The sequence below is a fragment of the Homo sapiens genome, chromosome 7 (assembly GCF_000001405.40).
Source record: "Homo sapiens chromosome 7, GRCh38.p14 Primary Assembly".
Classification (NCBI taxonomy): domain Eukaryota; kingdom Metazoa; phylum Chordata; class Mammalia; order Primates; family Hominidae; genus Homo; species Homo sapiens.
In genome coordinates, this window is record NC_000007.14 from 148,124,894 (window position 1) to 148,150,913 (window position 26,020).

The window sequence follows — 26,020 nt, forward strand, 5'->3', positions numbered from 1 at the left end:
CATAAAAATCAGGCAAAAAAGTTAAAGGAATGGGGAAAAGAATTCTAGGAGGAAGAGGCAATGCGAACAAAAACACAGGAATGGGGAGTGTGATGGGCGTTTGGGAAACTACAAGCATTTTGTATTGTTAGAGTGTGAAGTATGACACAGGCAGTGAAGATTTGGGGTCAAGTCTCAGATCTCATTCTAAATATATGGTCATCTAAATATTTATCTAGTATTTATTGAGTACCTGCTATGTGTGTACCTAAAATGAACGTAAGAAGAAGACATGGCCCCATCCCAGAGGCACACACCATCTAGTGGGAAAGACTAGTAATCTTAATCTCTCTCTGTCTCTTTCTCTCTTTCTCTCTCTCTCCCTCTCTCTCTGTCTCTCTTTTAGGTTCAGGGGTACATGTGCAGGTTTGTTATATTGGTAAATTGCATGTCACGGGGATTTGATGTACAGATTATTTTGTCACCCAAGTAATAAGCATAGTACCTGATAGGTAGTTTTTCCATCCTCTCCCTCCTCCCGCCCTCCACGCTTAGTACACGTATCCATGCGTACTCAATGTTTAGCTTCCAGTTATAGGTGAGAATATGCAATATTTGGTTTTCTGTTCCTGTGTTAGTTTGCTTAGGATAATGGTCCCCAGCTTCATCTATGTTGCTGCAAAGGACATTATCTCATTCTTATTTATGGCTGTGTAGTATTCCATGATGTATATGTACCACATTTTCTTTATTTGAGACTAGTAATCTCTGTTATTATAAAACTGTGTGTGTGTGTGTGTGTGTGTGTGTGTGTGTGTATATATATATAGTTTTTTTTTTTTTTGGACAGATTCTCACTCACTCTGCCAGCTGGGCTAGAGTGCAGTGGCACAATCTTGGCTCACTGCAACCTCTGCCTCCCGGGTTCAAGTGATTCTCCTGCCTCAGCCTCCCAAGTAGCTGGGATCACAGACATGTGCCACTATGCCTGGCTAATTTTTTATATTTTTAGTAGAGACAGGGTTTCATCATGTTGGCCAGGCTGGTCTCGAACTCCTGACCTCAAGTGATCTGCCTGCCTCCACCTCCCAAAGAACTGGGATTATAGGTATAAGCTACCACCTACAGCCAGCCTATAAAATAATATTTTGGATAGGATAATATTAGAGGTACGAACAATATGCTGTGGTTACTTAGATGAGGCAATATTTACTTCTGACTGGAGAAGGAGAAAAGTTTCCTTGAAGATGCTAACATTTTAAAAGAGCCACAAAGTAAATGGAAAAGGAAGTTTCAGGTTTAGAATGCCAAAGGAAAAAAGCACAGCATCATAGATGGCATGAACACATCAAAAAGGTGTGGCTCCGTCATACACCCATGCTGCGAGGGTTACGGAACATTAGTTACCATTATATCTCCAGGGTCACCACAATGCCTGGCATGTGGTAGGAACTAAATAAGCATTTGTTGAATGAATGAAATGAATGAATGAGGTGCTAGTCTGAATGGAGAGCCCCAGAAAATCTAGGTGGAGAAGCAGATCACCACGACTGAGGTGCTGGCGATCCAAATATAGACAAGGAATAATATGTGGAAAGGTGGAAGGACAGGTCACGGTTAGTGAAATTTTGGAACTCACGATTTCACAGGAAAGCAGTTTGGGCGGTAAGAAGAATGAAAATTGAAATGGAATTTTGTAGGTTGTATCAAAAGGCTGCGGAGAAAGTCAGGGCACTGGGAGGCCAGAGTAGTGTTGGTTGGTCACCTATGTCACTGTTGAGGTCATCAATGGTGAAGACAAGAGGTGAAATGGACAGGGAATCCATGACCCAAACTTTACTGTCCTGGGGTTCAAACAGTGACCACAATATGAACGGGGAGAGGACGAGTCACAGGTGGACGCGAAGCCGTTTGAAGACTCTGGAGCCATAGAGTGGAAGAAGTACGGAGAAGGGAAGAATAGGCCAACTGTTCGCCTGGCCCCAAGATATGGGCCACTCAGAAAAGGGGTTACAATTCTAAGGGTTGTAAGTTAGGGTCCCCTTAGGGTGGACTGCAATCAGAGGAAGGAAGTGTTTGAAAGTGTTTAATGATACAACAAATAGTGACCATAGAGTCTATTTTTGTTTAACAATTTAAAAGAGATTTTAGTCTGGGCACGGTGGCTCATGCCTATAATCCCAGCACTTTGGGAGGCCGAGGTGGGCAGATTGCTTGAACTCAGGAGTTCGAGACCAGCATAGCCAACATGGCGAAACCCCATTTCTACTAAAAATACAAAAATTAGCTGGGCGTGGTGGCACACCCCTGTGATCCCAGCTACTCGGGAGGCTGAGGAACAAGGATCACTTGAATCCAGGAGGCTGAGATTGTACCACTGCACTCCAGCCCAGGTGACAGAGCAAGACCCTATCTCAAAATAAATAAATAAATAAGATTTTAGAGGACATTTGTGAAGGGGATTTTTGGAGGGAAATTTTGAAGGAAAAGCTCACTGAGTAGGTAACATTCAGGAAAAGCAACCAGAAACTGTTGTAATACTTTAACATAAGCTTCCATGTTGCCCAAGTTTGAGATTTTTAAGGTATCAGGATAACTTGGAGGGAATATTTGCATTTAGCAGACATATCTCCACAAAAATGTGCAGGCAGCGGCCTAATGTCCTACTAATCTTAGGAAATAATATGAGGAAAAACTTTCATGTTCAAGATGCAGCCTTATGCAATATACATGCTCAAGAAAGTCAGAAGAAAATATTCTGCAATATACAGAAACTGATGAGTCAGAAGAAGTAAACTAATGGCAATTTATCTTCCAGTATTTCAAAATTGGAACAACTTTTTATTTTTAAATAGTTTCACTCTTGTAGATGTGAAGAATGTCTAATTCCACTTAACTGGGCTGTTGTTCTGTTGGGGTGTTATTTAGGATGTTTTAAAAAATATTGTGTTTTTTATTAGTACAAATCAGGTGTTAGCACCTGGATTTTTCACACATATATTATATTTATTTATTTAGAGGCAGGGCCTCTCTGTCGCCCAGCCTGGAGTGCAGTGGTGCAATCTTGGCTCACCATAACCTCCACCTTCTAGACTTAAGTGATCCTCTCACCTCAGCCTCCCGAGTAGCTGGTACCACAGGTGCACGCCACCACACTCGGTTAATTTTTGTATTTTTTGTGGAGACGGGGTTTCGCCATATTGCCCAGGCTGATCTTGAAACCTGGACTCAAGCGATCCACCCGCCTCAGCCTCCCAAAATGCTGGGATTACAATCGTCAGCCACCATGCCGGGCCTCTGGATTTTTCTTTTTAATTATCCAAGCCAACTTGGGTTATCAACATGGATTTAGGAAGAATTTTAGTGTTTCTACTACTTTGCAAGTCTAATTATGGTTTCAATTTATATTCAACATTTGGAATCTGAAAAGTGATTCTGACTTGGTCATTACTATACATAAGAAAAAAAACTATTCTCTCCCCAAAAATAAAATTTGAAGACCTGAATATTTAATAACAACACTTGTGATTAAAAAGAAATTCTCTAACTTCTCGATTTAAACCTTTGATTTGAATTACAGACCAAAAAGAAGTTTGGAAGTGTAAACTAAAATGAAATTTGTGCTATATTAAAGCTTTTCATATAATAGCTTTTTGTTCTTAATAAATATTAAAAGATATATAAATAGTTGGTAAATCAATTTAGATTAAATTTATCCAGATTTCTTTGCCAATTACACTGAAGGGACAGTTATTTGAATGTACAGTAGAGGTATCCTAGAGTTATGAAGATGGATTTTAGAATAGAATGTCTTCTGGATATAAAAATATTTCAAGTTACTTTAGAGTTTACTGGTCCACTCATGTCCTGATCTGGAAATTTCCAGAGAAGATTGGGAATTCCTCCTAAGCTGGCCAGACAGAGTGACATCTCTCTACAGATTCTAGAGTTCTGCCTCTCTCCCACTACACTTCAGAGGTGGCTTTGAAAGACCACCCAGGCCTCCTGACCAGCCCTCTCACGTGGCAGCTCCTATGGGTGCCACATAACCGCAGTCTCTCCACATCGCCTTTCCTCCCCATCGTGGAGGGTACCTTCCTGGTACCAGGAAGGATCTTCCATTTGAAGATACAACTGCCTTCTTGGTAATAATTCCTTTGCCTTGGGCCCACATCCTGGATTCCAAGTAACCAAGGGCAGGCTACTTCCAGTCACACCCAAAGAGATGGCTTGTCCCTCGGCTGGGGCTCAACTTCTGCTTTGGAAACCAGCTGAAGTCCAGGACACAGGCTCCCCAAGACCTCACTAGAGATCTGGTGTCCTTAGACTCTCCCTATTAAACTCCAGCTTATTTACATAGTCACGGGCATTTTAGGACAATAAAAAGAAAGTAAACATCAGAGGCAGGATTTCCTCAAAGACATTACATTGTACATACATGACGGTATGTCCTGATTTCTTTCATGCGATGCTCGAAAATAACCTAAGTAATCCACATCGATTACTGCAGAGAAGCCAGAAGAGTAACTATTCCTGGGGATAGCTGATGTCAACTAGGAGGGGGTGCAAAGGAACTTTCTGGGTGGTAGAAATAGTCTTTATCTTAATGCAAGGAATGATTGCATATGTAAAAATGTATCCAGCTGTGCATTAAGATATGCACATTTTACCGTGTATAAATTACAGCTGAATGGAAAAGTAGAAAAAGAGAAAAACTCTGCTCTGAGAAAATCTTGAATGACAAAAAAGTTAATAAATCACTCAATTTTTCAACTACACTTAGAGAGACCAGGATTCTAAGCTGACTGACCAGAGACCAGTCCTTGAACCTCTCCAGACTTTATCATATCCACTTGTAAAACAAGAAGGTTGAACAAGATGGTATTTAAGGTCTCGTCTACCATGAACAATTCGGCAAACCTGCCGGAGACCATCAGCCATCCAGTGTGGCTTACCACCTCCCAACCTAAGTGAACTCACAGCCAAGCAGCACCTTAACTTTTCATGCCAGGGTTCTCAGTTCTCCTAAGGATGATGGGGGGAGGGATGTGCCACAATAAAACACATCTGCTTCCAGTAATTCCAGTCAGCATATATGCTTTCACCAAACGTAGTCAGGAGATCTCCTAACATTATTGCCACCTAATTGTAAATGCTAACTAAGGAGCCATCAGAATGGCCCACGATACCTCAAGCTCAACATATCGAAACTGAAATCCATCATTTTCACTCAAAAGCCCCCTTCTGTGCTCCCACTTAGTTAATGTCATGGCCATCTTCTTCATTATTCAAATTAGAAAACTCAATGTCCTATTTAAAGTTTTACTAACCTCCCCATAGGGGATAGACTGTTTTATCTTGATAGAACACTGCATTTTTAATATAAAGAAATGCTATTCTTCCTGTAAGCCATCATACCAGAACAATGCCACAGAAAGCATCAATTCCTACTAGTCATAAAAGGCAGCTGGAACATAGATGTGAACATAATGAAATCATACCAAATGTCTCTACCTCCCAGGATGGCTTTGCTAGTTGAAATCCCTGGATTCTGGATTCAGACAGGCTCATAATTTGACTCCCTCACTCCAGTCCCTCTATCCTGATAACCACCCTCCCTAGTGAGGCCAAATTTCTACAGATCTGGTCCAGTTACTCCTTTCCTTACAGACCACCATGATTCCCCCTGTGCCTTATAAGACAAAGTACAATCCCAAGCTTGGTAAGTGATTTACGGCCTAACTTAATTTTCAAGTTTTTTTCCCCTACTCCATACAAGCTTTGCCCCTCACCCACCAGCACCATGTGCCACAGCCTCAGCTATGTCCAGCTACTGATATTCCCTGGACACCACTACAGTTTCCTAAGACTGACTATGTGTCTGCCTGTTCCGGAATTGCTTCCCCTTCATTGAAATCCTGCCCACACAAAATTTTTTTTATCATTTTGCATCTTGATTTATAATATAAAAAATAAGACAGAAGACTTCATTTCCCCAAAAATACCAAAATTTTTACAAGACAATTCATTAGGTGCATTGCCTGGAAAGTAGCAGGAATCCTCATTAGTCAGCATCTTCACATAGCATTTGTCTGAATGGAGTAGTTTATCATTACTCCAAAGACATACTGAAGTTTCATTAAAATTTTTTGATGTAATTTTTCTTCTATCTCACTCTCTTGGATTCTAACGTTTTCTTTTCTCTTTTCTTCTTCTTTTTTTTTTTTTTTTTTTTTTTTTTGAGACAGAGTCTCTCTCTGTTGCCCAGGCCAGAGTGCAGTGGTGCAATCTCAGCAGCTCACCACAACCTCCGCCTCCCGGGTTCAAGCAATTCTCCTGCCTTGGCCTCCCGAGTAGCTGGGACCACAGGCTCACGCCACCACGCCTCGCTAATTTTTGTATTTTTAGTAGAGACAGGTTTTCACTGTGTTGGCCAGGATGGTCTCAAACTCCTGACCTTGTGATCTGCCTGCCTTGACCTACCAAAGTGCTGGGATTACAGGCATAAGCCACCACGCCCTGCCAACACTTTCCATATTATTTACTCTATGTGGTAGTTCATGAAACCTTTCCCTTCTAAAAGATGGCCTGTTAAAGTGTCAAAAAGACCAACAACTAGAATTGGCCTGCCTATGACCATCTGTAAGACAACAGACCCTCTAAGAGAAGAAATCAAAGAAGTTTGAATTCACACATTCTGAGACAGACGGAAGAAAGATATGCTATTATTGCTGGATAATGAACACATGGATTTATGAGAAAAGCAGAAATATATATGAAAAATTTAAATTATAATAAGGTTAGAGACTTTCCATCTGCCATTCTAGGAGCTAACAGTATCTCCATAGGCTTGATATTTTTATAAAAACAAGTGCTTCAAGAAAAGAGTTAACAGTCAGTCAGTGTGTGTTGCTAATGCTGGAGAATTGATTCAACTAGGGATGACACTTGGGACCAATTAATTCAAAGCTGGCTTTAAAAAAAAAAAGTAGATACAATAAATCAGGGAGTAGAGCTTCATTTAAATATAGTGAGGGACTGGGATAGATTACTTGAAAAAGCTCAGAACCAAAGATTGTCTCAAAAGGCCAAAGACAACTATAAGTAAAACAAGTGCTAGGTTTCTATAAGCTATCAAACACTGAAATCAAAACCATGAAAGAAAATACTGGCCAACTGGATGTCAACTGGAAAATTTATACAAAGTTTGTTAATTTGTACTTGTATCCCCTCAATCTATAAAAATTTTAAAACATGTTTTAAAGCAACAAGAAATAAAAACAGTTTGTTATAAATGAAAATTTTCAGGAAGTTATCGTTCTCAAGATGCATTTTACTGAAATTACAAGACAATTTTTAATAGCAATCAAGTAGGAACCTTGAGGAGAAATGGGGAAACGTAAAGACTTACATGAAATCTTATACGGGAGTGTGGTCACAGTAAAAATATATCTTCTTTAAAAAGATGTTTCTATTTCTTTTGTATTGCTGTTTTACCTTTAATTTTTTAATTTTTTTTTTTTTTTTAGTTTAGGTACTTCTCAATTTTTAAGGGGATTGTGCTCTAGAAGTTTCTGATCTAGTTGTTCAGAACCTGAAATGTATTTTAATGTAGACACCGCATTGTATATAGCACTCACATTCCATAGCTAACCGTAAAGAGCTCTGCTGTTGCTGTAGTTGAGTGTTGATTCAAGGTACACAGGACAGGCTGAGATCTGGGTCCTGGCTTCTGGAGGCCATGAGATGTAGAATAGAAATGTTGAAGAACAAAAAGAATTGTTTCTTGTATTTCTGAAGGTCAAGCTTGAGCATGACAAACTTCTCCACAGGGAAAGTTTTTATTTGCCTTTTTGATAGTCAAATCACGGTCCTGCCTCTCCTTTTGTTGGGAGCCTCATTTTGGTGGGTTAGTAAAGGGAACATCTCCAACATTCATAGGAGCATTTGTTTAAAGGGCTCCCACGTGGCTTCCAGCCACTTCTCTCCACTCTGAAACTTCTATGAATTAGAGAATCCCCCTAATTCATTCAAATATATTACGGCCTATATTTTTTTAATATTACAATGATCTGACACAGTTGGGTATTGAAAATAGAGTAAAACCATTACACCACAATTATCCCTTCATCCCTGATGAACATCCTCTTGTCCATTTTTTTAATCATACGAATAAATGAAAAAAATGTGATAAGGTCATAAGAGAGTTAGGAACATTATGTAATCTTCTTTAAAAATAAGATAAGCTGCTCTACCCAGTAAAACCCTAGGTTTCTGCAGCCATATGACAGTCTGATATGCATGCTATGGTCGGTCACGGTGGCTCACGCCTGTAGTCCAGTACTTTGGAAGGCCGAGGCAGGCAGATAGCCTGAGGCCACGAGATCTAGACCAGCCTGGCCAACACGGTGAAACCCTGCCTCTACTAAAAATACAAAAATTAGCTGGGCATGGTGGCGTGCGCCTGTAACCCCAACTACTCAGGAGGCTGAGGCAGGAGAATCGCTTGAACCTGGGAGGTGGAGGTTGCAGTAAGCTGAGATCGCGCCACTGCACTCCAGCCTGGGTGACAGAATGAGAATCTGTCTCAAATAAAGTAATAATAATAATAATATGCATGCTATGCTCTGGTCCATGAAGACCTTCCACACAGTGATTTAGAGGTTCAGACTCCTTTTCTCTGTGGCTCCACCATCGTCTAGAGCCCGGGAAGTCTAGCTGGCAAAGAGAGAAAGGGAGGATAGAGAAGCATTCTCTCTTCTTGACCACACTGAACCAGCGTGAACACATTCCTTGCCCTCCTCCCTTTGGTAAGAGCTAGTCACATGTCTCCACCTGGATGCACAGGGACCAGGAAGGCAGTTACTGGCTGGGTAGCAGCTTTGCGGGAGTGATGATGAAAAGGGGAAAGAAACCTTCTGTGAATGGTTAGTGGTCTCTTTTACAGGTACTATGACACCAAAAAGGAGTAAACTTTAAAGACACCAAGGTAAGTTTCCAGGAGATGCAGCATTTGATTTGCATTGAAGGATGACAGGCAAAAATGAGATAAGGGCATTTTTCTGGAGAGAAAACAGCATAGGCAAATGCAGGTGGGGGAGGAAGACCGTGCAACATAGAAGCAATTGAAAGGAATAAAGCCGAAGCCCAAGGACCACTTCAAAGATACCTCTCTCTAGAGAAATGACCCACCGCCTATCTGTTAAGAGTTTGACAAATGAAATCTGGCTGAACCTCAGGCCTTGTCGGAAATTAGTCATTTTGCTTGCCTTTGCGGATGGTGTTAAAATGATCAAATTTGGTTTTCTGCATCTCTGAGTTTGATTCCTCTGATGAGAACTGATGCGAATGCCAACTGACTTTTTATGAAGAGTGGTTGATATTTAGTATTCTACAGAGTCTTTCTGGGTAAGTGTAACCAGAGCCAGTGAATAATAGAAGCAGTGTATATCTGTCAAGTGTAATTATAACACTGAATTATGCTCATCCTGCATTCCGGTTCCTGTATACATTAGTTTAAACATCAGAACATGCTGGCATTTCAGACCTGTGAGGATTTTACTTTGAAAAATAGCATGCCCTTGTTTTTAGCCATTTTTAACAGGAAAAAAGAACTTATATCTTGTTCAAAATTATTTTATGGTAAAGTTTGACCACTCTGTTTTTTAAAAAAATCTTCTCAAGTTTCTAAAAATAGGGAAGAAATGAGGAATATTTCAGTCTAGTTTTAAATGCCCTCTAATTTTCTGTATTTAAATAAAATCGTATACAATAAAATAATATCTTATTTTGATAAACTGAACTTTCTGATTAAATAGTTGTTAAAGTTACAGAATAGAGTTGCTTATAAAGTCACCAATCTTTGCCAGAGAAAGTGGAAATTATCAGATTGTAACTTTAAAATTATGCAAGTATTGTTTATCGTTGAATGATTTAAAAATTCAGAGCAGCAAAAAGGACAAAACAAAAATTCAGCTATAATCCCATATTCCAATATATTTAAATTATCATTTTGGTGTCTATATTTCTAAACATTTTTCTATGCATTTATATATACTTTTTTTTTACAAAAATGAGATCATAGGGTACATACTGTTTTGTAACCTACTTTTTTATGTAATAATATTTTAAGAACACATTTTCATGTCATTTTTCTTAAGACTCCATAACAATATTTTTTTTTCAACTGAGAACAAGGACCATACCAGAATCTCCAAGAGGGCATGTGTAGTTTGAAAACTTATAATTTTATATTTAGAAAGAAAACCCAAAAATAGCTATTGTTTTGGTAATATAACCTACAGAATATAAAGCATAGAAATTTCCAATTGGCTGGTCGGATGTTTATCTGGGATCTTCTGAGGTTTGTTATATTACCATTAGCCTCCTACATGGGGCATGATTAGATTACTATGTCAACAAATGGGAGCACAGATTTTGAAAGATTGTGAAATACAGTGCCTCAACTGCCAAGCATTCCATTTAACCCACAGTCCCTTGCTGTTGGGCTTAACTTTTGAAAGATAAATTTCCACACATTCTGATCCACTGGCTTCTGGTTGCTCATTCCCAATCATAACATATGATAGCATACTATCTATTTTAAGTATGTGATATGCGATTGCTTTTTATCACATACTCACATATCACAGCCTCAAGCTGCAGGGCAGCTCAAATGATGAAAGTGGAAGACAGGCCGGGTGCGGTGGCTCATGCCTGTAATCCCAGCACTTTGAGAGGCCGAGGCAGGTGGATCACCTGAGGTCAGGAGCTCCAGAAAAACCTGGTCAACATGGCAAAACCCTGTCTCCACTAAAAATTGAAAAAATAGCTGGGTGTGGTGGCAGGTGCGTGTAATCCCAGCTACTCGGGAGGCTGAGGCAGGAGAATAGTTTGAACCTGGGAGGGGGAGGTTGCAGTGAGCCAAGATAGTGCCACTGCACTCCAGCCTGGGTGGCTGAGTGAGAAGAAGAGAAGAGAGCAGAGGGGAGGGGAGGGGGGGAAGGGAGGGATGGGGAAGGAAGGAGGGAGGGAGGGAGGAAACAAGGAAACCACACTGGAAGGAGGAAGGAAGGAAACAAACCACATTGGGAAGAGAGGGAGGAAGGAAGGAAGGAAGGAAGGAAGGAAGGAAGGAAGGAAGGAAGGGAGGGAGGGAGGGAGGGAGGGAGGGAGGGGAAGGGAAGGGAGGGGAAGGGAGAGGGAGGGGGAGGTGGAAGGAATGGAGGGAACGGAGGGAGGAAGGGAGGGAAGGGAGGGAGGGAGGAAGGAAAGAAGGAAGGAAAGAAATAAACAAACAAGGAAACCACATTGGGAAATCCAAGCAAAGATGGGCTCAGCAGGTCACATGGTTTGGATATTTGTCCCTCCAAATTTCATGTTGAAGTGTGACTCCCGATGTTGGAGGTGGGAACCTAGTGGACAGTATTTGGGTCATGGGGGCGGATCCTTCATGAATGGCTTGGTGCTCTTCCCATGGTAATGAGTTCATATGAGATCTGGTTGTTTTAAAGAGCTTGGCACCTCCTCCTCCTCTCTCTCGCTTCCTCTCTTGCCATGTGATGTGCTGCTGTTCCTTCACCTTCCGTCATGAGCATAAGCTTCTGAGGCCCTCTCTAGAAGTCGATGCCAGCACTATGCTCATATAGCCTGCAGAGCCAAGAGTCAAATAAACCTCTTTTCTTTATAAATTACCCAGCCCTAAGTATTTCTTTATAGCAAGGCAAAATGGACTAGAACAGCTGGATAGTACTGCTAACCGATGACCCTATCCCCAAAGCTGTTTCCATTCATTCTCTTTGTTGAGAGTATGTCAAACCATCCCAGGATGGAGGCTGGAGATGAGTTTAACCCCACCTGCAACTGTTCTCTCGATGGAGCTACTCTACAGAAAAATCATGTTCCATTAGTTCACTAAATCGTAACAAAAGTAAATGTACTTGTTTGAACATTGTACAAACTAGTCCTAAAAGGGTTCTCACGTATTTTATATGCGCAGTCTTTAGGGAGGCAAAAATGTTTTATGCAATCTATACAAGAAAGTTATATTTTCAGCTGTTATCCAAAACAAAGGAAGCGTACTCTGTGAAAAATTGGTATTATTGTTTAACAATATCCATTTCCAGAGGAATGCTTTTCTTAAGTAGAAGTTGGCTGACACAACCATAAGGGATGCTGTGAAGTGATTTCTGTCATTTTTCATACATGGAAACATATGAACTCAAGGGTCTACTAACTCTTCTACAACTTTAAAGGAGCACTTATCCTGGGATACTTTCAAACCTGAGATTCTGAGATTCTATATTTTTAATGTTCAACCCTTAGTTTCCTCATTTCTAATATTCATTACTAAGTAGACGATAAAGATCAAGTTAAGCATAGCTTCAGAAAAACTAATAAAATAATTTAAATTGGTTATGCATCTCTTGTGACGATTCTAAGGCAAAAGGCACTTTTATAGAAGTCTTTCACACTTTAAGAAAGCTTGCTATATAGAAAATGATTCAGTTGGGCACAGTGGCTCACGCCTGTAATCCCAGCACTTTGGGAGGCTGAGGCGGGTGGATCACCTGAGTTCAGGAGTTCGAGACCAGCCTGGCCAACATGGCAAAACCCCATCTCTACTAAAAATACAAAAGAATTAGCCAGATGTGGTGGCGCGTGCCTGCGGTCCCAGCCACTCGGGAGGTTGAGGCAGGAGAATAATTTAAACCTGGGAGGTGGAGGTTGCAGTGAGCTGAGATCACACCATTGCACTCCAGCCTGGGCAACAGAGCAAAAGTCTATCTCAGAAAAAAAAGGAAGGAAGGAAGGAAGGAAGGAAGGAAGGAAGGAAGGAAGGAAGGAAGGAAGGAAGGAAGGAAGGTTCTCCTTTCCTCTCTAATGTCTCTCCATTCCCATTTAAAGTCTCTGTTGATCTGCAGCATAATTTTACTTTTTTCTCCACTATTTGTCCAATACTGCAAATGCACTGTAGTTGAAGAGAATCTGTTGTTGTAATGGAAAACAGAATCAATCTCTTTTTATACTCTGAGCCTATAGCATGTAGTATATATGTCCTCATTTGGCACTTTTTAATTTTCATTACAGAGATCTTCTCTGAAGTCATATCAAGGTGACACTGAAAGGATTTGATAGAAAGGAAACAATTTGTGGCAAAACAGAGAGAGAAAAATACTACCTGTGATACAACCTATCGGCAGAGTCACAAGTCAGTCCACAGAAACCAGAAAACAGACGTCCCCTTGGCTGCTTTCCTTCTGATAGACTTATCTAAAGCTCTCACTAGCAAGCATGCTCCTTCCAAAGCCATAGCCTTTCATCCTCAGAGTTCATCTTTGGCTTTTCCTCATTATCAGTGTCCCTATCAAGATAGCCATGCATAGCACAGTTATTTAGAAGGCACAATTAATTGACTTGTATGCTGTCTCCTTGTAAGCTTCAGCTTGGTCTGTGTTGAAACTTGTCAGCTTTTCCCCCAATTCATGTTGTTTCAACCTGCAGTTTTATTACCTCCTTTGGATGCCAAATTCTCCTTTCTCCTTGCACTCTCCAAAGCCATGTATTTTGATGAACTGGCTCTCTCTGACATCACCTCAAACCAACTTAATAAATCACCCCTAGTCTTCTACCAAAGCACATTTCCTTAAATGAGTTTTCTCATTTTGCCGCACAACCTGAATATGGTCGGAAGAAACACTTCTTTGAAGTCCATCCCCTCCTCAATCTGCTCTCCTCTTCATCTCTAGGGGATCCTTAGGTATGAGTTTCAGAGTTTCTCTAAAGCAGCTTCTGGGTTTCCCTTTATTACAACACTCTATCCCCAGAGTAACCATCTGGGACCTTTATCTATTCTTCCAAAATGGGTACTGTCTGCCCAATGAACAGCTGTGCTCTTTCCAAACAAGAGGGTATTTAAAACCCAACTGCAAGTCCTACATGGGGTACAGGGGATTGTTGCCAGCCACATATCATTTTGGAACTATTTTTGCCTTCTTTCTTTTTAAATCATATAGGCCTATTAATATTCAAGGAGTTATTCTCAAAAGGTGGTTAAATGCATAGAAAAACTAAAATTAGAAGAGCTTTGCATTTTAAAGACAGCTTTCTGTTTTTGTATGGCCAATGGTATCTCCCTTTTGCTTCCTTTTCTCTGTGGATGTCTTTGTTTGTGAAGTTATTTTTTAACCATAATAAAAAGCTTAAAGGCCAAAATACATAAAGAGAAATACTTCTTATACTCAAGAGGTTATCGAGATACCAGAGATTTTAAAATGAGTTCGTAACATTGATTCCTAAGCTCCAGGCATTTCCTTGAAGAATTTCCAGAAGACTTCAAATAAATTTTTCTTGCCAATGTTCATTTTCAGATGTGTTTAACACCAAGTTTTCTGGTGTGAATATGCATATATGACTCTAAAAATCTCTACATTCAGAAACTAAAACTATACTAAAAGAAAAATAGGTCATTTTTTATTTCCTTCATAATATGACAGGCAATACAGTAGTTAGGAAAACTAAAGCTCTATATCTAGTCATTACTGGATTTTAGTGTCTCTCAGCCTCAGTTTCCTGACTAATCAGTGAGGGTGGGCTCAGGGGTCGAAGTCTATTCACTGAAGCTTTTAGGTCTTAACATTATTGGATTCAATCACATACTTCTTTTTTTTGAGACAGAGTCTCACACTGTTGCCTGGTCTGGAGTGCAGTGGCGTGATCTCGGCTCACTGCAACCTCTGGCTCACTGCAACCTCCGCCTCCTGGGTCAAGTGATTCTCCTGCCTCAGCCTCCCGAGTAGCTGGGATTACAGGCACCCTCTATCATGCCCAGCTAATTTTTTGTATTTCTAGTAGAGATGGGGTTTCACTATGTTGGCCAGGCTGGTCTCAAACTCCTGACCTCATAAGCCACCCGCCTCGGCCTCCCAAAGTGCTGGGATTACAGGCATGAGCCATCGTGCTCAGCCTCAATCACATACTTCTAAGCTGATGTGATTGTTTCTGTTTTTGTGGAGTTACAACCAGTTGCAAATTTAGAGAGACCACATTCCCCATAAGACTGCATATGCTTCTGACACCAATTGCAAGTTCAGAAGTTCCCCAAACCACCCCCAGGTTTGATAGTTCTGTAGAAGGACTCACAGAATTCACTGAATTCTGCTGCCGAAGGCTGCTATACTCATGCTGCATTATGGGTGAAGAATGCACGTGAAAATCAGACAGGGGTAGAAGCACAGATGGCAGAGTCCAGGAACAGTACCAGATGCTGAGTTTACAGTCAACCTCTCTATATAGATTCAGGAGCACATTTCTTTCCTGGAACGGGTGTGTAACAATTTGCATGGGGTATTGCCAATGAGGGAAGCTTCCTGAGCCTCCATGTTCAGAGTCTTTACTGAGACTCCGTTATATAGGAATGATTGATTGCCCACATGGCTGACCTCAGTTTCCAGCCCCTCAGAAGGCTGGAGAATATAAGCCAAAGCCCCACACCCTTCATCACATTGTTGGTCAATCTGGCATGGTAAGGCCCCATCTTTTTTCTTTTTCTTTTTTTTTTTTTTTTTGAGACAGAGTTTCGCTCTTGTTGCCCAGGCTGGAGTGTGCAATGGCACCATCTCGGCTCACCACAACCTCCACCTCCCAGGTTCATGTGATTCTCTTGCCTCAGCCTCCCAAGTAGCCAGATTACAGGCATCTGCCACCACGCCCAGCTAATTTTGTATTTTTAATAGGGATGGCATTTCTCCATGTTGGTCAGGCTGGTCTCGAACTCCTGACCTCAGGTGATCCACCCGCCTCAGCATCCCAAAGTGCTGGGATTACAGGCATGAGCCACCACACCCAGCCCAGGCCCCATCTTAAATGCCATCTGGTGTGGCCCTACCCCTAAAACACAATGTTAGACTATCTGGAATAACCCAAGGCTCCCAGGCAAATGAAGACATGCTTACCAGGCAGGACATCCCAAGGGCTTAGATATTACCTTCCCAAAGCCAAAGGCAAGGGCCAGACCTCTTGAGGGCAAGGCTAAATTCTCTATTACACAGTTCTGAAAATCTCTCTGTTGAGGACAAGAAAGCAAAGATTCCTAGGACTTACTACTAGAAGGAAACCTGAAACTCCTAATGTTTCTTAAAGTAAGATTCCAGGACCACTTGCGTCAGAATCACCTGGCATTAACAAAATGCAGACTCCAAAGCCCCACCCCAAACCTACTGAATCAGATTCTCTGTAACAGAAGCATTGGAATATGCATTTTAAGCATTTTCCTTTAGCAGTTTTTTATGTAGGCCAAAACTTGAGAATTGTAATTAAGATCCAAGGTCCCTGTTCCTACAAGTAGAGTGAAACTAGCATGCAATAAAGCAAAGGGAGAAAATTCTGCTTCTTATTCCACTGGTGAGTTTATCTTGGGCAAGCCATTAGTCCTCAAACATCATATGTTTGAAAATAACGTTTAGCTACATTTGTTTTAAACAGACATAACTAATGTAGCATGCTCTTAGACTGAGAAAATATTCATTGAGTTACTTTGTGCTCTTGGGAAAGATGCTTGTGGAATACAAGATGGAACTCCATCTAGTTCGGCTGGCCTTGGGAAAATGAGTGGATTTCTCTTTTCAGAGTATCCATGTGATCACTGTTGCCTTCCTAGGCAGGAGTAGTTTCTATTCATCCTTTCATTCATTCACAAATTGGTATCTACTGTGTGGCAGGCAATGTTCTCAGTGCTGAGGAGAGAACAATGAACAAAACAGAAAATGCCTCTGCCTTCCTGAGGCCAGGACCACATATATATTATTCCAGATAGTGATACATGCTATGCAGACTTTTTAAAAATCAGGATTAAAGGGGAAAGGACAGCTGAGAGCGAAGTTTGTTATTTAACATAGAATGTTTAGGGATGGAGTTTCTAATATGATGACTTGTGAGCAGAGAAGTAAACGCTCAGCCACAGAGTTATTTGGGTAAAGTGAACAGCAAGTTCTAAGGCCCTGGGGCAGGAGCAGTTTCAAATGTTGTGAAGGAGAAAGTCCTATGTGGTGGAATTAGAGGAAGACTAAGAGGAGTGGAAATAGATATGGGGAGTACAGACATCTCTTTCAAGGAATTTGGAAACAAAAGGGTGCATAGAAATGAAATGGTAACTTTTGGGATAGATAAGGTCAAAAGAAAGGTTTTATAGTGCCAGTGGTTGTTAAGAGTAGAGATATGTCTCTGTGTGTGTGTGTGTGTGTGTGTGTGTGTGTGTGTGTGTGTTTGTATAACAACCCAGTTGTAGAGGGAGGGGAGAATTGTCAGAGTGGTGTCCTTGAGCTGGTAGGAAGGATGGCATCCCGTGTATAGGTGCAGCAGTTGGCCTTGAATTAGGAACATAGATGAACTCTTTACTTCTTTCTCCTTATCTCTCTGATTCCCATGGCGACCTTATTTTCAGCCTTCCTGCCTCTTCTCATGACCCTTTCGTGTTAAATAAATCCTTTTATCTTCTGATGTACAGTTAGTACTTCATTCAGAAAAAAAATACAGGAAACAAAAAAAGATATTGATAACACTGTTCACCATAGAGTGAGGCTGAAATATCTGTTCTACCAATTACCAGTTTTGTTGTATGACTCAAATGAGATTTATTGTACAGAAGATCCCCCAGGAAGCTGCCACCCCTCGAACCTTATTTTAGAATGGAAAAAACGTATCATTACCAAAACTAAACAGTGTTAGCTGGTCTGCCCATCATGCTCATGCTATATAACTTTCCTTCTCTTTTCTCTTATCCTGTTCTGTACTGAATGGCCAAATTTTTTCTGCTACTTCAACTGAAACTGTGGTCTAATATCTAAATGCTCCCTCACCTGCTGAGAAAACTTAGAGCCAAAAACACCTGGTATTGGTCAGTTGTTAAATTTATCGCTCAATATACTAAGCTTGGAGTGATTTGTTGAGTTAGAATGAGAGCAAATAGTGCCACCTGCTGGAATTACACTTGGAAGGGGAAGCGTGAACATGCCAAGAGCTCTCCATGGTTTTGTCCCAATCATTACTTTAAGCCTTTCAGATGAAGTCATGAGCCTGCTTTATTAGAAAGTAATTTCTTCCACCTATATTCTTTTCTGATGGCAATATGCCACCTTATGTATTTCTCTTTTAGTATTTCTCTTTTCTCCCTGTAATGATTCAGTATCTAAAATTACCATTAAGACCAGCTGTATTTCATTTTATTTCTCTTAGAATCTCTTGAAAAATTATAGAATGTTGCCATTTGAAAGAACCTTAGAGGTTCTCCGTAGTTTCAAACACATTTTGGACACAGGAACTTTTGGGAAACTATGGATATAATCCTCACTTTGGACCTCAAACTGAGGCCTGAAGCGTGAAAAGTGAAAAGACCAAACAGCTGAGGCTCTATATCAGTTAAGATGCTTTCAGTTACAATAAAAATGGCTTGAGCAATAACATAACAGCATATCTCACATAAGAAATCCTAAGGTAGATGGCTCTGGGATTAATTTAAAAGTTGAGTAGACCAGGTGTGGTGGCTCATGCCTGTAATCCTAGCACACTGGGAGTCTGAGATGGGTGGATAGCTTGAGCCCACGATTTCGAGATGAGCCTGGGCAACATGGCAAAACCCCATCTCTACAAAAAATACAAAAATTATCTAGGTGTGGTGGTGTACTCCTGTAGTCTCAGCTACTTGAGAGGCTGAGGTGGGAGAATCATCTGAGCCCAGGAGGTCAAGGCTGCAGTCAGCTATGATCACACTGCCACACTGCAGCCTGGGTGACAGAACAAGACCCTGTCTCAAAAAATACAAATAAAGAATTTTTAAAAGTTGAACAATGTCAGCCATGACCCAGGCTCATCCTCTGTCCTCTCTGTCCTCTGTATCTCTGACATTTGTGAGGCAGCTCCAGCAACATTAAGAACCACAGCTTCCCACCCAATATTAAGGGGCAGAAAAGGGACTGTCTTTTCCTTATAACTCACCAAAAGACTCCACTCATGTTTCATTGGCTAGAAGGGAATTATGTGTCTCATCCAAAGTGGGTAGCTGGCAAGGAGCCTGGAATTGCCATCTTTGCCTTCATTAAATCCAGATCCATCCTGTGGGCCTTGGGTAGGGCTGTCCTTATGCAAAGTGCAAGACTCTGGAAACACAGAGATTCCAGGGCAAAATCCGGTTAGCTCACAAAGAAAAAAGGGAAAGTGACTAATTATTGGGAGAAAAATCTCCATGGGTCTCTTCCACTTTTGCCTGCCTTCTGAGCAAGAAGCATTGACAGCTTTGTTTATACCTTTTTTAAGGATGTGTGTATAGCTAACAGCCTTGGAAGATACAGATAGTGTCTTCCTCTGGGACAGAGGGTAGATTTATTTCATGGCCAGAGTAAGAAATATAATGTCACTCTCCGGGGCAGAAATTGAGCAAGTTTGCTAGTAGCTACTGTAAAAAGATTGGGGTTTCCTAAGTCCAGGGTCCCTCAGCTGTGAAGCAAACTTATTGCATGTGCAGCATCCACCTGGGATGCCCTGCATTCCCCTGCAAGGGAAAGCAATGTGAACGGGAAGCTCAGGCTGCCTGCTGTGTTGTGAGTAAAGAAGTCCTTTGTCTCTGACCCAGGAGTTTCATGTCTTCTGCCAGCATCATCAGACTGTGGCCATGTTAAACTATGGTTCTGCCAGCATCATCAAACCATGGCTAACTTGTTAGCCTGCAAGTGGGGTAAAGTCTCAGACCCTTCCCAGTTCTTGATACTCATGGAAAGGCAACCATTCATGTTTGGCACAGTGTTCTTTCCAATGAGCCAGGCTATATGCATCCAATTCTCAAATACTTATTTCTGGAAATGAGAATTTGTTCGGTATATAAGAAATTCCTTTTTCACAGGCAGAAACAGGGCAACACTTCAGTCTCCAACTGGAGACACACATTAAGCGAGGACAGTGTCATTGGCTCAAGTGTCTTTTATGCTGTCTCCCTTTTATTCGCTCACTCTCTCTATAATTATCTCTTTTAAAATGTCAGTTGCTCTCACCCAGAAGACCAAGAGCAATCAGCCACAAACTGAACTTAGAAGCTTTTAAAACACACTGGCTGTCTGACTGGGGGATGGGATTTCTCAAAGGCTTCCCGCAGCAATGTCAGGGAAGCTGACATTGAGTGGCTGAGAAAAAAGAGCCCTTTCCTTGGCTCTCACAGTGGGTCTTTCAGATCCTTCCTGAGGAAGCAACGGAAGGGGTGTGGAATGTGCTGACTTCATAAATATTTCTCCAGCAGAGCCTGAATGGAGGCTGTTTGGGAAGAAAGTTGCTCGTGGGGTCCTTTGGCCTTGAGTCCCTCTTACTGTATCCCATTAGGGTGAGAGGCTCTGAGCTACGGCATCGTCCTGGCAACTTTCTTCCCTTCTCCAGAATAAAATATTGATGTTAAGGTGACGGTGAAGAAATAGGGGATCTATTGGGACAAGCAAAAAGTATAGATATTTTCTAGCGACTTCTGGCACTCAGAGTTTTTCCAAGTAGTGACAGTTTGAAGACCTGGACACGAATTCATCATAGCAGTAGGAGAATCACAGAGGAAATTAGAACAGCATTTATCCCTACGAGTCAAACCTTAGGGTTAAACTCAATTTATCCCTAAATTCTATTTCCTTGATGGCAGTTGATGCCTTTAAAATGAAACAATCTTTCCTACTTAGCCCAGGAACCCTCGTTCTCTTGCTGTTCTGACAACTTACATTTAAAAAATGCTCCTGCTAAAATACAGTGTTATGAGAACAGAACAGATTTAATCTGAAACCAAGGCTACTTTTTCCTCATCTGCTGTATCAGAACTACAGAGAAAGATCACACAGCCTGTGGGTCATATTATCATCTTCCTGCATTCTGATCATACTTCCATGGAAACCTTGATGGAGGTCACTGGCCTGCAAGTTCAATCCAGTCCCAATGACCCCTGGAGGCAGGGGCTTCTAATTTAGATGAGATATTTTTCTGAAGTGTGTGTCCAATGACCACAGGTGTTGAAATGAAAGTTCTCTCGCTAACGACATGAAGGATCAAAATTCCTTGGTACAATTAGGTTGATTAAATTGAGCTCTGTGTCTAATATCCCTGTAGCTCAATAAAGTTAATGCAGCTTTCCAAGGGGCCCAACACAGAGGCAGGGAACAGTCTAGGTCCTGAGAGAATCTGGCCCACCATGGTTTCTAAATTAGAAGTTTGATTGCTTGTGACATCGTCTTAAAATGGTACCAGCCAAAAGAAGCTGAATTTTCCATTAGCCCAGGAAAAAAAAATGACAGATATTTAATTAAACTGCTTAGAGATTAGGTGGAAAGCTTATTGATGGACAGAGGGGCTGAATATCTTTATAAGCAAAGTTAGGCACTGGTGTGCCACATCTTTAATGTTGAGAAGAATTCACCCAGCCTAAGGGAGCTGAAGACGTGTGTGCTGCTTCAGCCTGAGGCTGCCTCTCCTGTCAATCACAAGAAAAAATATACATTTAAAAAGCTTGTTTATAAAGCACTAGGTGGTCACTGAGGAACTTAACATAAAATATAAAATGTGAAATTAGAAAGCTACTTATAGCTAAAGTTAATAAAGCAACCACCCAATCCATTTGCCAATTGTTGAGAGGTGACTAATTGCAGAGGAAGGTTGATTTGGAGGTGATCTCTAAAAAAAAGAATTTGTGGTCAGTGCTAGAGGGTAGGTTATGAGAAGGAGCCTACAACCCAGATGGGGAATAACCAAGGTTTGCAACAGACGATGTACGACAGGGATTATTCTCCAGAAATGTTGTGCTACCTTTCAGGTAGGCACAGGTGGTCATAAAATGTAGGTCACCCTCATTACACCAACAATAGGTCACCCTCATTACACCAACAATAGGTTACCCTCATTACACCAACAATAGGTCACCGTCATTACACCAACAATAGGTTACCCTCATTACACCAACAATTCAAGGGTCCCCAACTTTCAAAAGAGTATAAAGATCAATGAAATCAAGTTTCATAAATTCCCCCAAAGCAGTAGCTCTCAACTCTAGCTATGTGTTAACATTTCCTGGGGAGTTTTTTTAAAATACCAGTGCCAACTCTTGACCAACTGAGTCCAAATCTCTGGACACAGGTGTTTCAAGAGATCTCCAGGTGACTATGAATCACTTCCCAAGGAGCTACTTACTGAAAAGGTAAATTGTATGTGGAATTAGAAGATATCAGGCTCTGAAATCTGACAAACCTTGGTTCAGTTCGTGACTCCACTAACTTACTGAATCTAAGACACTCAACATGCGCTAACTTCTCCAGACTTCAGTCTCCTTATCTGGAGAGGGTCAATGATGGTCACATCTTGGAAGGCTTCTAAAATTAAATAAGGAAATAAATATATACCTGACACATAGACCCCCCAAAACACCCTTGGTTATTAATGGTTAATGATTGACATTTTATCCTTCTTCCATTGATTTTGCCATCGACCTTTGTAGGACGTGACAGGCTTAGATGATTTTTCCTCTCCCTGCTTTGTTTGTCGTCTAGAATTTACTGCTATTTGGTATCTGGGAGAAAAATACTCATGTTTTTCATGCTTTCTGCTCCTCCAGCTGCCACAGAAGTGTCCTTTTCATTTGATGTGGGAAATGGGCCAGTAGAGATTGTAGTGAGGTCACCAACCCCTCTCAACGATGACCAGTGGCACCGGGTCACTGCAGAGAGGAATGTCAAGCAGGCCAGCCTACAGGTGGACCGGCTACCGCAGCAGATCCGCAAGGCCCCAACAGAAGGCCACACCCGCCTGGAGCTCTACAGCCAGTTATTTGTGGGTAAGTAATGGAAAGGTAACCATGGCTTCCCTCTGTTGATTTTTAAGAGCCTGCACAATACAAAAAAAAAAAAAAATCAGCCTATGCAAGGTTTGATATAGAGATCCTTCCAAAAGTAAAGGTGTTGGCCTCTTGTAGTCTCCTTCAAGACAGAATGGAATAAGGAAGAAGTTTCAGGAGACCTAGATCTCGTTCCACTTCCACTCTTGGGAGCTCACTGTCCTCAGCTATAAAATCAGAGTGCAGGCTGAGACATCTCTCAGGTCTCTCTAATATCTGCAATTTTAGGTTTATGGTTTTAGAAGTGTATAAAGTTATTTGATCATTTGGGGCACTTGTAACTGTGTGGAAGGAAAGGAAGGAAGGAAGGAAGGAAGGGAGAGAGGGAGGGAGGGAGGGAGGAAATGGGCTAAGTTCAGATTTTTTTGAAATGATAAATATAAAGCCATTCCTTTCTTGCCTATTCTCAAGGTTCTAGGCAGAGAAAGATTTAGACTTTTCCTGACATAGGAAAAAAGATCAGTACAAAAAAGAAATTTAAACAGATCAAAAAGTTAAACTACCTATGCAAGAAGTGGATCCAGACACCCAGTCTAATCTTTTTCACCTGTCTTTCTGCTACTGACATATTTCAGATGAACCTAAAATTACTTCAAATTCATACCTGCTTCCCATGGCTAGTTGAATTTTAAATTTTGTTTTTGAGAATATTCATATGTTAGGAAATTAGCAACTTTTCCTCTGTTGAATGAAATAAAGAAGTGAGTTTGAAGGACTTTGTGGATGCATCATCTTAGACCCCTCTCTAGGGGGTCAATTGATCAGTGCAGTCAACTGTGGAAGTCTCAGACAAAGCAAGATAAGAATGTGACTTGGTTGCTGTTCATATTCATAACACCTGCCACTTGGGCTCCACCCTACGTTACAGCCTCACTGAGAGCCAGTTAATTTTAACAAGGGGCAGAGTCCCCACAGTGTCTTTCATAGTTGTGTTGGGAAGCTTGAAGAGCGGTAGAATGTCATTAAAGGAAAGGTAAAATTAGATCTCCATTCATTTTGTGTGATGTCGGCCAACTACAAAACAAAGGTGTGGGTCAATGAGCTTTGAAAGTGAGACTGACTTTTAACAACCACATCAGCTGGGGCTATAAAAGAGTTATAGATTTAGAAATAAAGTATTTCCTAATTACAACTGGAAATCAGCCCTTTCCAAATCCTTCCCTCAAGTTATAGATCACAAAATTACACATTATTTTTTAATTAGCTAAATATCAGGTCCATTGATCCCTGCTGAGCACAGTGAAGAAATTTCACTTCATCAACATGTGTGGCCCAGATTAGCTAGGACAAGTTTCTTCCTAAATACTGTTAATTCTGAACATGCTGGGTAGATTCTATCTGGTTTTCATCATAACAGGTGACCCTACTTGACTCAACTTCTCGTTTTTTTGACCCTGCCCCTGGATATAGAAGTCCAACTTTAGTTTTGTTCCTTTCTGTTGGCTAACTGTGGCTGTGTGTAAGAATTTTGAAGACCTAGTAAGGTTGTAAAATGAAGAGATGGAAGAGTATTTATTATGGTCTTGGAAGGAACATCAATTCACTTAAAGAAGGTGACCCAATAATAACTTAAGAAAAGAGCAAGGGCCTGAGATCAGAATTCTACAGAACCATGGAATATAAGGGATAAACAGAAAAAGAATATCTCAGGAAGAATGAAGAGGAATAGAAATAAGGAAAATTAGGAGAGAGTAATGTCACAAGAGGAGGAGGATTTGATTAAAAAGGTAATGGCAAATAATATCAAGCACCATGAGTAAAATAAGGCTAGAAATGTGCGTGTGTGTGTGTTTTGAGATGGAGTCTCATCCTGTGGCCAGGCTGGAGTGCAATGGTGTGTTCTCAACTCACGACTCACTGCAACCTCCACCTCCTGGGTTCAGGTGATTCTCCTGCCTCAGCCTCCTGAGCAGCTGGGACTACAGGTGCATGCCAGTATGCCCAGCAAATTTTTGTATTTTTAGTAGAGAAGGGGTTTCACCATGTTGGCCAGGCTGGTCTCAAACTCCTGACCTCAGGTGATCCACCCACCTCAGCCTCCCAAAATGCTGGGATTACAGGCATGAGCCACCACTCCTGGCCTGTGTTGTTTTAATTTAGCAATTGTAAAACCATTGATGACCGCAGAAACAGAAATTTCAGAACAGGAGGCTGACGTGATGAGTCAGCAATTTCTTTTGACTAGAAAATAGTCTCTAGTCCCAGTTTCTAATTCCTGTCACCTTAAAGGGAGGCACAAGGCACATCTCTCAGATATGAGCTACTTTAGCCAATTTGTGAAATATTGTTCGGCAATAGAAGTCTACCTCAGGTGAAGTGAGAGGGGTTGTTACAAAAAAAAAAAAAAAAAAAAAAAAAAAAGGACGGCCACGGTGGCTCACGCCTATAATCCCAGCAATTTGGGAGGCCGAGGCAGGCGGATCATGAGTTCAGGAGTTCAAGACCATCCTGGCCAACATAGTGAAACCCTGTCTCTATTTAAAAATACAAAAATTAGGGCTGGGCGCAGTGGCTCACGCCCGTAATCCCAGCACTTTGGGAGGCTGAGGCAGGCGGATCACGAGGTCAGGAGATCCTGACCATCCTGGCTAACACGGTGAAACCCCATCTCTACTAAAAATACAAAAAATTAGCCAGGCATGGTGGTGGGTGCCTGTAGTCCCAGCTACTCAGGAGGCTGAGGCAGGAGAATGGTGTGAACCCGGGAGGCAGAGCTTGCAGTGAGCCGAGATCGCGCCACTGTACTCCAGCGTGGGAGATAGAGTGAGACTCTGTCTCAGAAAAAAAAAACAAGACTCTAAAACTAACACCTAGTTCAACAGCTATGAATTTCTGGAGCCACTTATCTCCAAACTATTCAGTTAGAATTTAGGGACTTAGGTGTTAGTCTCAGTTCACCTCTAATATAAAAGCATTTTCTTGACCAACTATTACCATCTTCCCTCTCTGAGTATCTTCTATTTCTATGTTTTGTTTGTTTGTTTGTTTGTTTTACATGGAGTCTTGTTCTGTTGCCCAGGCTGGAGTACAGTGGCATGATCGTGGCTTACTGCAGCCTCAACCTCCCAGGCTCAAGGGATCCTCCCACCTCAGTCCCCAAGTCGCTGGGACTATAGGCTCATGCCACCATGCCTGGCATGAGGT

General features: G+C 41.4%; 1 protein-coding gene across 1 annotated transcript in view; it reads left to right on the top strand.

Annotated features, from left to right (window-relative positions):
* Positions 1-26,020, top strand: part of CNTNAP2 (contactin associated protein 2) — a 2,304,198-nt gene that overhangs the window by 2,008,093 nt on the left and 270,085 nt on the right. Inside the window, exon 17 of the mRNA NM_014141.6 lies at positions 22,598-22,816. Within this exon, the coding sequence (NP_054860.1) occupies positions 22,598-22,816 (219 nt within the window). The remainder of the gene's footprint in view (positions 1-22,597; positions 22,817-26,020) is intronic.